The sequence below is a fragment of the Homo sapiens genome, chromosome 2, assembly GCF_000001405.40.
Source record: "Homo sapiens chromosome 2, GRCh38.p14 Primary Assembly".
NCBI lineage: Eukaryota > Metazoa > Chordata > Mammalia > Primates > Hominidae > Homo > Homo sapiens.
This window is the reverse complement of record NC_000002.12, coordinates 130,797,260-130,812,523: the sequence shown is the minus strand read 5'-3', so window position 1 is coordinate 130,812,523 and position 15,264 is coordinate 130,797,260. Positions and strand designations below refer to the sequence as shown.

General features: G+C 48.2%; 2 annotated features.

Annotated features, from left to right (window-relative positions):
* Window positions 14,270-14,519: a silencer, noted in NCBI's record as "silent region_11963". NCBI's record gives its function as "represses an Ori minimal core promoter by ATAC-STARR-seq in GM12878 lymphoblastoid cells {active_cell/tissue: GM12878}" and the evidence as "EXISTENCE:reporter gene assay evidence [ECO:0000049][PMID:35858748]".
* Window positions 14,830-14,979: a silencer, noted in NCBI's record as "silent region_11962". NCBI's record gives its function as "represses an Ori minimal core promoter by ATAC-STARR-seq in GM12878 lymphoblastoid cells {active_cell/tissue: GM12878}" and the evidence as "EXISTENCE:reporter gene assay evidence [ECO:0000049][PMID:35858748]".

Sequence of the window (15,264 nt, the reverse complement as noted above, 5' to 3'; positions counted from 1 at the left end):
GATAGACTGGATTAAGAAAATGTGGCACATATACACCATGGAATACTATGCAGCCATAAAAAAGGATGAGTTCAGGTCCTTTGCAGGGACCTGGATGAAGCTAGAAACCATCATTCTAAGCAAACTATCTCAAGGACAGAAAACCAAACACCGCATGTTCTCACTCATAGGTGGGAAGTGAACAATGAGAACACTGGGACACAGGGCGGGGGACATCACACACCAGGGCCTGTTGGGGCCTGGGGGGCTGGGGGACGGATAGCATTAGGAGAAATACCTAATGTAAATGATGAGTTGATGGGTGCAGCAAACCAACATGGCACATGTATACATATGTAACAAACCTGCACATTGTGCACATGTATCCCAGAAATTAAAGTATAATAACAAAACAAAACAAACAAGCAAAAAAAAGCTTATCCACCATGATCAAATCGGCTTCATCCCCAGGATGTAAGGCTGGTTCAACATATGCAAATCAATAAATGTAATTCAGCACGTAAACAGAACTAAAGACAAAACCCACATGATTATCTCAATAGACACAGAAAAGGCCTTTGATAAAATTCAACATCCCTTCATGTTAAAAATTCTCAATAAACTAGGTATTGAAAGAACATACCTCAAAATAATGAGAGCCATTTATGGCAAACCCACAGCCAATAGCATACTGAATGGGCAAAAGCTGGAAGCATTCCCCTTGAAACCAGCACAAGACAAGGCTGCCCTCTCTCACCAGTCCTATTCAACATGGTATTGGAAGTTCTGGCCAGGGCAATCAAGCAAGAGAAAGAAATAAATGGTATTCAAATAGGAAAGAGAGGAAGTCAAACTGTCTCTGTTTGCAGGTGACATGATCCTATCTCTAGAAAACCCCATCCTCTCAGCCCCAAAGCTTCTTAAGCTTATAAGCAACTTCAGCAAAGTCTCAGGATACAAAATCAATGTGCAAAAGTCACAAGCATTCCTATACACCAGTAAGAGACCAACAGAGAGCCAAATCATGAATGAACTCCCAGGCTGTGCCATGAACTACAAGGCTACAGTAACCAAAACAGCATGGTACCGGTACAAAAACAGACACATACACCAATGGAACAGAATAGAGAACTCAGAAATAAGATCACATATCTACAACCATCTGATCTTTGACATACCTGACAAAAACAAGCAACAGGGAATGGATTCCCTATTTAATAAATGGTGCTGGGAGAACTGGCTAGCTATATGTAGGAGATTGAAACTGGACCCCTTCTTTACACCTTATACAAAAATTAACTCAAGATGGATTAAAGACTTAAATGTAAAAGCCAAAACTATAAAAACCCTAGAAGAAAATCTAGGCAGTACCATTCAGGACATAGGCACAGGCAAAAATTTCACGATGAAAACGTCAAAAGCAATTACAACAAAAGCAAAAATTGACAAATGGGGTCTAATTAAACTAAACAGCTTCTGCACAGCAAAAGAAACTATCATCAGAGTGAACAGACATCCTACAGAATGGGAGAAATTTTTTGCAATCTATCCATCTGGCAAAGGTCTAATATCCAGAATCTACAAGGAACTTAAACAAATTTACAAGAAAAAAAACAACCCCATTAGAAAGTGGGCAAACAACATAAACAGACACTTCTCAAAAGAAGACATTCATTTGGCCAGCATGAAAAAAGGCTCAACATCACTGATCATTAGAGAAATGCAAATCAAAACCACAATGAGATACCATCTCATGCCAGTCAGAATGGCGACTATTAACAGGAGAGAAGTGGGTGGAAGAAAGGGCTACCTTCTCTGCTGTCAAGCCTGGCCGACATAGTGAAACCCCAGGCTGCCCTTCTTACTCCCCTCTCACCCCTTCTCACACATTCTCTGTCTGTCCTCTCACCTGGCAGAGCACTGCCTCGGGGGCTCCCGTGTGGCAACAGCGGGGGACAAAGGTGGGGAGCTCCTGGCGGCGCAGTGATCCAGACCTGGAGAGGCCAGGCCCATTTTCTCTCTCCTTAACTCCTGCCACTCCAAGTGAATGTATGTCCTAGGCACTCATTATAGCTTGGTAACTATGGATGCTGTAATGAGAGCATAGATTAGTTTGGAAAGATTTTTTTCCGTCGTTTTCATCTGTATCTTAAATCCTTCCTTTAGGAGTAATTTGATGTTCAGCAGTGTCTTTCCTGTTCCTTGTTCATCTTTTTATTGGCGGGGGGCGGAGGCGGGGCACTTGGGATGCAGGGAGTTGAATTATTCACACTTCTCAGTTCAGGGGCACAGACTACTACCATCAATGTGACGAGAACCCTCTCTTATTTTTTTCTCCATTTAATTTAAATTATTATGAATTGGCAAGGCACGGTGGCTCACTCCTGTAATCCCAGCATTTTGGGAGGCCGAGGCGGGCAGATCATGAGGTAAAGAGATCGAGACCATCCTGGCTAACATGGTGAAACCCCGTCTCTACTAAAAAAATACAAAAATTGGCCGGATGCAGTGGCTCACGCCTGTAATCCCAGCACTCTGAGAGGCCAAGGCAGGTGGATCACGTGAGGTCAGGAGTTCAAGACTAGCCTGGCCAACATGGTGAAACCCCGTCTCTACTAAAAATAAACACACACACACATACAAATTAGCTGGGCGTGTTGGCGGGTGCTTGTAATCCCATGAACTTAGGAGGCTGAGGCAGGAGAATCACTTGAACCTAGGATGCAGAGGTTGCAGTGAGCCAAGATTGCACCATTGCACTCCAGCCTGGGCAACAAGAGCAAAACTCCGTCTCAAAAAAAAAAAAAAAATTAGCTGGATGTGGTGGTGCATGCCTGTAGTCCCAGCTACTCGGGAGGCTGAGGCAGGAGAATTGCTTGAATCTGGGAGGCGGAGGTTGCAGTGAGCCGAGATAGCGCCATTGCACTCCAGACTGGCCACAGAGCGAGACTCCGTCTCAAACAACAACAACAACAACAAATTATTATGAATTATTTTATTTTAAATTATTTTATGTATTACTTTCCCTTTTATCCTGAATACCCATCCCTATTCCCTCAGCTCAAGGGTAGCTGCTGTCATGTATTTAAAATATATTCTCTTTAGATGCATAGAAAAGGTTTGTAGATTTACAAAAATAAATTTGGTGAGGTACACGGGGACTCAGTACACTAGGGGACTGATTTACTCTAGTTGTATTTTTCAATTTCTGACATTACAAATTTGTGCTCTGAAGACATTGCTTGCTGTCTGTATTTTTTGCTAGCTGGAGAGCACCTCCCTACATAGGAGGGAAGGGAAGGTCAGCTTTATTTTTCGGCAAGTAGTAGGTGAGAGAGTGAGTCATAAAGGTCCTAGGGGAAGAACATTCCAGGAAGAGGGATAGCCAGCGTGAGAAACCTGGTGTCGCAATTGCCTGCCATGTCCAGTTTGGCTACAAGGGAGTAAGCCAGGGGCCTGGGCCTGAGACGCAGACAAGTGCTTGTAAGAGATCACGCAAGGAACTGTAGGCATTGCAAGGCCTTTAGACTTTGCCTCCAGTGAGAAGTATGTGTCAGGACTTGATTTGTTTTAATTGCTGAATAATATTCCATTGTTTGGACATACCGCATTTTGTTTATCCATTCATCACTTGATGGACATTTGGGCTGTTTCCACCTTTTGGCTATTATGACTAATACTGTTATGAGCATTTGTGTACCGGGTTTTGCATGGACATATTTTCATTTTTCTTGGATATACCCAGAGTAGGATTGCTGGCCATATGGTATCTGTGTTTAGCATTTTGAGGAAGTGCCAATGTCTTATCCAGGAGTGATCTGCAGAGGCAGAGTGGTTCTGAACTGAGTTTGTGGTGGGCTACGAACCGCAGAAGGGCTGGCCAGCAGCCAGGAGGCAGCAGGGATCGGGGACAAGTTCAAGACCAGCAGAGGCTGCCAGGATAAACCCATGGGGAAAACAAGACAAAACAAGTCTGTGAGCCAGGACACCAGGAAGAAAACCTGCTCCAGAACCTTTCGGAACACTGCGGGGAAGGCTGGGTTATGCTTCTCTTTCTTTTCCACCTTCAGCTCTCTGTTCCCACTAGAAACAGGCTCGCTGTGGCTATCAGTGCATCCTCAGGGTGCAGAGAAGAGAGGTGGGTGTGTGGATCTTGGGAATGTGCTGGGAGAGCGGGGAACAGGCAGAGAACACCCTGGGGAGGCCCATCCTCCTCCCCAGGGCACTCTCGACCCAGGGGAGGCTTCCCTGGGGAGCACCGAGGAGTTTCTTCCCAGAGGCGCCAGAGCACTCCTCTCCCAAGTGCGACGTGGGGGAAGCGTGTGCCTCCTGCCACCTCCTCCTGGCTCTCTTCTGCTTTACTCCTCTTTCCCAACCCAGAGCCCAGCCCAGTTCTTTTGCAGGTGGGGGCTAGTGCAAACTGGGGCTGTCTGTCAGGCACCATCACATTCAGTTTCCACCAAAGCCTTACTTTTCTTGCAATAGTTTGAGTTGAGTTTTAAATGCAGCTCTCGGTCCATGCGTAAGACAGTGGCCGCATATGCGCTGCACATGTGACGAGTGTGTTACATAAAATATGGGTGTGGCAGTGCATGCTTTCAGCAGGGTCTCACGTGTGTGTCAGTTGGGGGGCGGGGCTTGTCTAGAAATGGGGATAATTCTGGGAGCTATAGGGGAGTGGATTCCCTGTGCCCCAACCAAGAGAGCCCAGTTCCTCCCAGGGCCAGGCTGTGGGTGCTTGCAGGGACCCTCCCTCCTGGCTAGGCCTGCCTGGGTGAGGCCAGCCTTGGTGCAGTCAGCCATAGCCTCTCCTGGCTGCCAGCCAGTGCAGGCTGAGGGTGATTGTGTCTGGGAGTGTCCTCTTGGCTCCTCTGAGATCCTGACTAGACCTGTCCTCAGCAGAGAAGGCAGCCCTTTCTTCCACCCACTTTAGCACTGGAAGAATGCTCCCAGCACTTCCCTAGTCTTCACGATGGAACACAAGATGAGATGGGTTTCCAGGCAGAGAGAGGTATTGTCTCATACACTCTCATCCCCACCAGGGCCTAAACTTCCACTGTTAGAGACTTATACGTGAAGGTTTGAGGGGCTTGAGGTCACACTGGAGTGGGGTGGAAAGCTCTGGAGCAGAGTGGTCTCAGTTGTTCATGGATAGCCACTTCCTTGCTATGTGGCTCTAGGCAAGTCACTTAAACTCTCTCAATTTGTACATGAGGTGATAAGAGTGACCATCTTGCATAATTTATTGTTGTGAGTATTAAATGAAAAAATAGGTAAAGCAGCTAGCAAGATGTCTAGCACAGGTGGGTGCTTGATGGCCAGGTATTCCCTTCTCACTGGAGTGCCAAGCCCCTGGGAAAGGTGACCTCAGCCTCCAGGCAGACTCTGGAGGAGAAATGGGAAAAGTTAAGAAATGGTAATCTGGGCCGGGCACAGTGGCTCACGCCTGTAATCCCAGCACTTTGGGAGGCCGAGGTGGGTGGATCACGAGGTCAGGAGATCGAGACCATCCTGGCTAACATGGTGAAACCCCATCTCTACTAAAAATACAAAAAATTAGCTGGGCGTGGTGGTGGGCGCCTGTAGTCCCAGCTACTCGGGAGGCTGAGGCAGGAGGATGGCGTGAACCCGGGAGGCGGAGCTTGCAGTGAGCCGAGATCGCGCCACTGCACTCCAGCCTGAGAGACAGAGCGAGACTCCATCTCAAAAAAAAAAAAAAAAAAAAAAAGAAATGGCAATCTGTCTTTTTCTTTGTTTGTTCACTCATTTATTCACGCTTCCAATGGAGTAACATTGCCGAGCGCCTGCAAGTGCCAGACCCAGCAGGAGGCATGGAGACCCAGAAGGTCACAGGGTCTCAGTGGGATCAGACTCAGTAGGGGTCCATCTGAAACGCAAGCACAGTAGCAACTCAAAGCATTTGCAAGCAATGTGGACTTCACTGAAGTGTTGGTGAGGAAGCAGAACAGTAGGTTATACCACACAGAAAAAGCAAGATGTGTCCATGTCCCTGCTAATCAACTCCAAGCTCTCTCTGGCACCTGCCTGGCTGTGGCTGCCGGCACCCCTCTGCTTCCTCTGGCTTCCATTTCCTGGGCTCACTGCCCACATCCTACCCCTTATTAAGGGGTTTCATAGAGACTTAATTAACATACCACACAATTCACCTTTTAAAACATTGTGTACGTCGATGGTTTCTAATCTATTCAGGCTTATACAACCATCACCATAATCCAATTTTAGAATATTTTAATCTCCTCCCAAAAACCTTCATGCTCATTAGGAATCACCCCAAACTTCCCCTTTTCCCCAGCCCTAGGAAATCACCAATCCACTTTCTGTCTTCATGGATTTGCCCAATTCTGGACATTTCATATAAGTGGAATAATTCAATATGTGGTCTTTTAAAAATTTTAAATTAAGGTAAAAAAATTCTTAACATAAAGTTTATCATCTGAACTATTTTTAGGTGTGCAGTTCAGTAGTGGTAACTGTATCCACACTGTTGTAGAACATCTCCAGAACATTTTCATCTTGCAAAATTGAAACTCTGTACCCATTGAACAACTCCCCTTTCTCCTCCCCGTGTCCCTTGGTTATCATCATTCTTTTTGTCTCTATGAATTTGGTGACTGTAGGGACTTCATATGAATGAAATCATACTGTATTTGTCATTTCATGATTGGCTTGTTTCAAGTAGCCTACTGTCCTCAAGGTTTACCCATGCTGTAGTGTGTGACATCCTTCTTTTTAAAAACTGAATAATATGACTGGGCACAGTGGCGCTCACGTCTGTAATCCCAGCACTTTGGGAGGCCTAGGTAGGTGATCCACCTACCTAGTTCAGGAGTTCCAGACCAGCCTGGCCAACATGGTGAAACTCCATCTCTACTAAAAATGCAAAAATTAGCTGGGCGTGGTGGCATGTGCCTGTAATCCCAACTACTCGGGAGGCTGAGGCAGGAGAATTGCTTGAACCCGGGAGGCGGAGGTTGCAGTAAGCTGAGATGGCACCACTGCACTCCAGGCCTGGGCGACAGAGCGAGACTCCATCTTAAAAAAACAAAAAACAAAACAACAACAACAACAAAACTGAATAACACACACACACACACACACACACTCTCTCCATCTGTCTCTCTCTCTCTGTCTACTTTATCCATTTATCTGTTGAAAAACACTGAGTTGCCTCCACCCCCTGGGTATTGTGAATAGCATTGCAATGAACGTGGGTGTGTAGATATCGCTTTGAGATCTTGTTTTCAGTTCTTTTGGATGTATACCCAGAAGTGAGTTTGCTGGATCATATGGTAATTCTACTTTTACTTTTTTGAGGAACCCTCCATGCTATTTCCCATAGTGGCTACACAATTTTGATAGTAACTATCCTAATGGGTGTGAAATGGTATCTCATTGTGATTTTGATTTGTATTTCTGTAAGTGATGTTGAGCATCTTTTCATATGCTTATATGTCATTTGCATATATTTTTAGAGAAATGTCTATTCCAGTCCTTTGTCCATTTTTCTTCTTGAGACAGAGTCTTGCTCTGTCGCCCAGACTAGAGTACAGTGGTACAATCTTGGCTCACTGCAACCTCTGCCTCCCGGGTTCAAGCAATTTTCCTGCCTCAGCCTCCCAAGTTGCTGGGACTACAGGCACCTGCCACCACGCCCAGCTAATTTTTGTATTTTTAGTAGAGATGGGGTTTCACCATGTTGGCCAAGCTGGTCTTGAACTCCTGAGCCCAGGTGATCCGACCCCCTCAGCCTCCCAAAGTGCTAGGATTACAGGCGTGAGCCACCGCACCTGGCCTCCTTTGTCCATTTTTGAGCTGGCTTGACCTTTTTTTTTATTGTTGAAATGTAGGAGTTTTAAAAATATATATTCTGGATAATAACCCCTTATCAGATATATGATTTGCAAATATTTTCTCCTATTCTATGAGTTACCTTTTTATCCTATTGATAGTGTACTTTGATACATAAAAGTTGTTTTTTTTTTTTTTTTTTTTTGAGACGGAGTCTTGCTCTCTCTCTGTCACCCAGGCTGGAGTGCAGTGGCGCAATCTCGGCTCACTGCAAGCTCCGCCTCCCGGAGGTTCACGCCATTCTCCTGCCTCAGCCTCCCGAGCAGCTGGGACTACAGGTGCCCGCCACCATGCCCAGCTAATTTTTTGTATTGTTAGTAGAGACGGGGTTTCACTGTGTTAGCCAGGATGGTCTTGATCTCTTGACCTCATGATCCACCCACCTCGGCCTCCCAAAGTGCTGGGATTACAGGCGTGAACCACCGTGCCCAGCCATAAAAGTTTTTAATTTTGATAAAGTTCAATTGATTTATTATCTGTTTCTTTTGTTGCCTGGGCTTTTGGTATCATATCTAAGAAATCATTGCCAAATCCAATGTCATAAAGATTTTTCCCTATATTTTCTTCTAGGAGTTTTATAGTTCTAAGGTAAATACTTTTTTTTTTTTTTTTTGAGAGAGAGTCTCTCTCTGTTGCCCAGGCTGGAATGCAATGGCACGATCTTGGCTCACTGCAATCTCTGCCTCCCGGGTTCAAGTGATTCTTCTGCCTCAGCTTCCTGAGTAGCTGGAACTACAGGCTTGTGCCACCATGCCCAGCTAATTTTTGTATCTTTAGTAGAGATGGGGTATTACCATATTGACCAGGCTGGTCTTGAACTCCTGACCTCAGGTAATCTGCCCACCTTGGCCTCCCAAAGTGCTGTGATTACAGGCGTGAGCCACTGCACCCAGCCTTAAAGTAAATACTTTGCATTTAGGTATTTAATCCATTTTGGGTTATTTTTGTATCTAGTGTAAGGAGAGGGCCTGATTTCATTATTTTGCATGTGAACGTCCATGAGGCCATAGGTGAAGACTGAGAGAGAAAAGGCAGTGCAGCAGGCAGGGGGACCATGTGCACTTCAGCCACTTTTTCATGTAACTTGCTTGTGTCTTCAGAGCCTGCTCAGGCCCAGTCATGTATAGACCACTTCCACTTGATAATGGAGTGTTGCTATGCCTGCTCAACTGTATGGCTTGTTGGATCACATAACACCCAGTTCATAACGGGCATCTCAGCTCACATGGTGACTGGTTTACCCATGATTAAGTGTTTAGTGTCTGCTAAGGCCCGGTAGCAGGCCAAGAGCTGTCTCTCAAAAAGATCCACAGAGGATGGCAGGATTTTGCTTTAAAATTCTAAGAGCTTGCACTTTGGGTCACCTATGGGGGCTCCAAATAGCATCCCTGTCTGCCACTGCCACCTTGAGCACCACTAGATCTGCTGGGTCACATGGCTCAAGTGGCAAAGCAGCCTGCACAGCAGCTTGGACCTGTTGCAGCGCCTTCTCCTGTTCTGGGCCCCACTCAGAACTAGCCGCTTTTCAGGTCACTCAATAAATGGGCTGTAGTAACACACCCAAATGAGGAATATGTTGCCTCCAAAATCCAAGTAGGCCCGCTAGTAATTGTGTCTTTTTCTAGTTTGTAAGAGGGGCCACATGCAATCATGTATTCTTTCTTCACCTTAGAAAGGATATTTCATATCTCCAGATAGTTTTAAAAAAGAGAAAAAGGATATTTTCAACATTTTCTGGACCCCCAGAAATTTCACTGAGGTAGAAGATCCCTGAATTTCAGTTAGAGTTCTCTCTCAGCCTCTGACACACAAATATCTCACCAGTAAGTTAAGAGTAGTTGCTATTTCTCACTTATGGTCCAGTCAGCACTAGGTCATCAGTGTCATGATAGACCAGTGTGCTATCTTGCAGGAGGGAAAAGAAATTGAGATCCCTGCAATCTAATTTATAACATAGGGTTGTAGAGTTGACATACTTCTGAGGTAGGACAGTGGAGGGGTAGTGCTGGCCTTGCCAGCTGAAAGCAAACTGCTTCTGGTGAACCTTACAGAAAGACATGGAGAAAAAGGCATTTGTCAGATCAATAGCTGCTTACTGTGTTAATTTGCTGAAGCAGTGAAACCACAGCTGGTACAACAATTGCAATAGGAGTCACCACTTGGTTAAGCTTACAAGAAGCCACTGTCATTGTCTGAGATCTATCTCTCTTTAGCACAGGCCAGATAGGAGGGTTGAATGGGGATGTGGTGGGAATCACCACTCCTGTATCTTTTAAGTCCTTGATGCTGGTGCTAATCTCCGAATCTCTGCAGTCTCTCTAGAATGCAGCAATGCTTTTGGTTTTCTTAGGCAAAGGCAGCTTCAGTGGCTTTCATTTGGATTTGCCTATCAGAAGAGTCCTCAGGGAACCAACATGGTACTCTGCTAGCTACTAAGTACAGCCACGTATCACATAACATTTCGCTCAATGGTGGATAGCATATATGATGGTGGTCCCATAAGATTATAATACCATACTTTTGCTCTACCTTTTCTTTTTTCTTTCCTTTTTTTTTGAGATGGGGTCTCACTCTGTCGCCCAGGCTGGAGTGCAGTGGCGCAATCTTGGCTCACTGCAAACTCTACCTCCTGGGTTCAAGTGATTCCCCTGCTTCAGTCTTCTGAGTAGCTGGGACTACGGGCACCCACCACCCACCACGCCCAGATAATTTTTGTATTTTTAGTAGAGATAGGATTTCACCATATTGGCCAGACTGGTCTCGAACTCCTGATCTCAGGTGATCCACCTGCCTCGGCCTCTCAAAGTGCTGGGATTACAGGCACGAGCCACCGCGCCCGGCCTGCTGTACCTTTTCTATGTTTAGATACACAAATACCATTGTGCTACAGTTGCCTACAGTATTTAGTACAGTAACCTGCTATATAGGTTTATAGCCTAGGAGCAATAGGCTATCCTATATAGCCTAGTATGGAGGAGGCTATACCATCTAGATTTGTGTAAGTATGCTCTATGATGCTTGTACAAAGACTAAATTACCTAATGATGCACTTCTCAGACTGTATCCCCACCGTTCGGTGAGTGACACATGACAGTATGTTCCAATTATGCATTCTGGAACTTAGGAAATAACCGCATAGACTGAGCCTGGGGACCCAATGGGCCCACTGTGAGATGGACCTGAGCTAAAACTCCCTTGACCACCTGACCTCCGTAAGCCCCTGGAGGGCCACAGGGATGCTTCTGGTCTTCTGGAATGAATGTCAGTTCAGAGCCAGTGTCCCAGAGTGCCTGAGAGGTCTGATTATTTTCTTTTTCCTAGTACACAATGACCCTGGTAAAAGGTCAAAGGTCTCTCTAGGGAAGGCTGAGAGAAAGATTAACAGTAGAGGTTTTTGATAGCATACAGGATCCTTTCTGGAGGGGACTGTGCTTCCCCTGCATGGACCATGATGTTCTATTTTCATGATTCAAGTAAGATTTTTGTTAACTCGACCTGGAAGTTTTCTGCTTATACAGATTAAGAATTTAATAGGTATGAAAGTTGATCATAAATGTGTGATTCTTGTCACACCCAATTAAATCTGAGTTGAGGGCCAAGGAGGGAAAAACACTCAGGATTTATAACATCGCTTCAGAAATGCAATTTTCTGCAAGTCCAGCAGCCAAAACTGTCTATTGTAACCTGAGACCAGTTTTGTCTATAGCTTGTGGAATATCTTGCCGCCAATGTAGGGCTCATTGTGTCCACTGCTATCGTTCACCAATCAGCTTGCTAGTCCCAAAGCTTTACTAATACAAATAAACTTTCTCTCAAGACCACGAGCAACATTCCTCTATTCTATAAAATCCCCAACCTGCTCTTTGTTCTTTGGACATACTGAAAAACACCTGGTCTGTGTGTATGACCCAAATTGCAATTCTTATATCCCAAATAAAATGTTATATTTAGAGATTTGTCTCTACCTTTTAATGTTGACTTCAGTACAAGCTTCCTATCTATTTCACTTCTAGGAACGCCATAATCAACTATCCAACATCACATATTCACACAAGTCAGACTATTCTGATTGTTACTTTGTCTCTTCTGTCCATTATGGTAGTCACACCCACCTTGTCTTAGGTGGTTGAGTTCCCCTCTTGGCTCCTCCCACCCTGAGATCAGTTGCTGTCATTGCATTTAATTTTCCAATTGAGTGACTGTGGTTCCCACTGTAAGGTCTGCCCAGAGAGAAAAGCAATGAAACAGCTCTTGAAGGATGCTGGGGCTCCCCTCACAAACCCATTTCTTACAATATTGGTGAAAGGTGTGTCTGGACTAGTGTGGGTAAGTATGTCTAAAATGGCAAATCTACTCTAATTCCAATCTCTTCAATTCCCTTCCTCTACATTAAAACAAGGGATATCTGGCACCTCCAACTTGCTCATTGTAGGCCGCCTTTTAATCTGTTTCCCCTAACCAACTAAACTATTAGGTCTTTTTTACACGCCCAGGGCTGCAGCATTCAGTGCAGAATCTCTGCTTAGTGGGCCCACATCAATACATTTGGCCTGATCCGACTTTATGGTCTTTCCACCATTATCCTGCATGTTTAATGGATCCTTAAGATCCATTTCCACACATTTACTGGATTTCTGCCTGTATGAATTAGAAAACTCAAGTAGTTCTTTTGGATTGTGGCACACCTCCTCCTGGGTCCTGCTATGTCCTCACCTTTGGGGGCCTGCTGGGCCTTGAGTCTAGTTATAGGTCTAGTAAAGACAGGTGGGTCCTAAGGAAACTCAGCATTGTCTTGCATGACAACTGCCTCAGGGGAGGTCTTTATCATTTCCTCCAGCAATGCAGGGTTAATCTCCTCAGGCCAAGGCCAACACCACGAAGGGTGTGAAGGCTGCTTCCCCTGGGGATGGGGAGGCTAGTTTTGCTGTGGATGGGAAGACAACTCCCGTGGGCAAAGAGAATTCATCAGAATTTAGGAGCTCAATGTCTCCCAGTTTCATCAGGATATTCCCATACACCCCCATCCCAATTTACAGGTTGTCATCCTCTCCCAATCAATACCCTCACTTTAATAGTAGACATCCTGGGAGGCTGGGAGTTCAGCTTTTGCTGTAATTCAGCCAGTCACATGGTGAGGACTTGTGTTTGATTTTCAGCAGTTTCAACCCTGTGGCTACAGAGGGTCATCCCTCATGGTGGCCCTGACAGGGCGTGGGGGAGAGAGGCTAGGGCATCTGTGGTCTTCTTTTGGGAGATATGGGGCTCACCCTCTGCACTTTGCCTAAGCTGCATCCCACACTTTCTGGGCAACCTCCTATGTCTCAACTCCTGGCCCTGCTGTGCCCCCAGAAGGCTCCTCTTGACAGGCCACCCTCTTAGGCAGGGTCCTTTTGGGATGACTCACACCTGATACCTTGAGGACCAGCATCACTTGCAACCTTGTCTGTCCACACGGTGCACCTGAAGCGTCTCCACTGCCAGCCCTCTTCCCAGCTTTTCCAGCAACGGATGTCCATAGCCTGCCCTCCTACCCAGGAGTGGTGTCCATCTCTGTCTCAGGGATGCTACTGGTCTGTTTGCTCACAGCAGGGATGGGCCTGCGAGTGCCGGCGCTGAGCAGGCAGCCTGCAGCCCTGAGCCGGCTCCCACTTCAGGGCCATAGAGGGCGGGGAAGGGGGCAGGGCCTGGCAGAGGCTGGAGATGCTTGGATGGGGGCCAACAGCAGGGGGATGGGGGAAGGCAGCGCCTAGCAGCTATCCTTGAAATGAGTGTTTTCGCAGCCAAAGCTCAGGTGTAGGCCCACTCCCCCATGCCACGGCCTTTTGAACATGTGGAACCAGGACTCGGAACGTCCTGTTTTAAAGTGGGAGGTGGGCTGTCACTGGCAGGCGAGAGCTGCCGCCGCGCCTCTGCGAGGCTCCCCATTCCTGCGACCCTATCACATGTGGAAGGTGGGTGGGAGGGTGGTGGCGCGGTTGATCTGATCTCTGTCCCAAATAAGGCTCTTGAGGAGGACGCAGGGCACTTCCAGGGCGAGGGTGCCGCTGGGCTCTGACAAGCCCTTTGGGGACTCGTGGAGTCGTGGGAATGCCAGCTGACTCAGCGAGGGCGGCCTTGGCCACAGCAAGGTACCCTTCCCTACTTTCTGTCTTTCGTGGTGAGGCGATTTTAAAAACGCAGTCTGAGCAGCCCTTGCCATTGTCCTGCTGTGTACCCAGCACTTAGTGTGTCAGCTGGTCCGTGTGGACGGCCCAGTCCCTCCAGTGGCATCCCTACCGGTGACCCCTCCTGCCTGCACCATCGTTCCAAGTCTCAGGGCCGGCGCACAGGCGGGGCGCGGGGCTCTTGGCGCCCCTGCGCTCGGAACGGCTGCTTCCGGGCTGGGTGGCTGCTGTCGCCCAACACGCGGCCTCCGCAGAACAGTGGGCTGAGGTCGGTCCAGGACGGCGGTCCCAGCCCTAGGACCGGCGTACAGTAGAGGGCCCGGCAAAGGCCTCGGCCCAGCGGGGAAGTCGCGCCCTCCTGCGGCGCTGACGGGGACAGCAGGGCTCTCGGGCCGTCCTCTGGCTGTGCCCCGCCCCGGGGGACGCTGGGCGGACTGCGGGGCGTGCCCGGGGGCGCTGCAGTGTGTGCGGACTCGCAGTGGGTGCTCACTGTCGGCCAGAGCCAAGGCGTTCGGCCGCCTCGGCCTGAGGAATGAAGGCGCCTTGTGTCGCTTTAGCAGGCAGCAGTGACCCGTGGCGCGTCCCCGGGGACCCGACTGCGGGGCCAGTGGTGCGAAGCCAGTCCTGTGCCCGGGCCTGGTCCTCCCAGCCTCTAGGAAAGCGGATCTCGCTCTCGGTGAGATGAAACGGCCCAGGAGAGAGGCCCCGTCCCTGGCAGGCGGGTGTCCGCGGCAGCGCGAGCCATTCGCGCGGTCAGCCGGGGCGTCTTCCGGATGCGAGGCCCGCGGAGCTCGTGGGAGGTGCTGGCGCCCTGTGTGGCCCGCCCTGCGCTCCCGGCTGCGGGTTCCGAGACTGAGCCGCCGGGAGCCTCCGGAGAGACAGCTCCGCGCGCCCCCTGCTGGCAGGAGGGAGTCGCTCTATGCTGGGCCGGAGAGCAGGGTCCTCCACGCGGCAGGGGGACTGCGCTAAGAAGTCAGGCCCCGCCCCGTGGCTGGGTTTCAGGGCCACAGGCAGCAAGAGACCCACTTCTATCCACCCTGCCCGGCTTATGTAGCACGAAGAGGGCTCTGAAGAAGCAGCCTCTTACTGACATTCTACACACCCTTATGAAAAGCCCCCAAAGAGGCCCCGCGCGGTGGCTCAAGCCCGTAATCCAAGCACTTTGGGAGGCTGAGGCAGGCAGATCACCTGAGGTCAGGAGTTCGAGACCAGCCTGGCCAACATGGTGAAACCCCGTCTCTACTAAAAATAC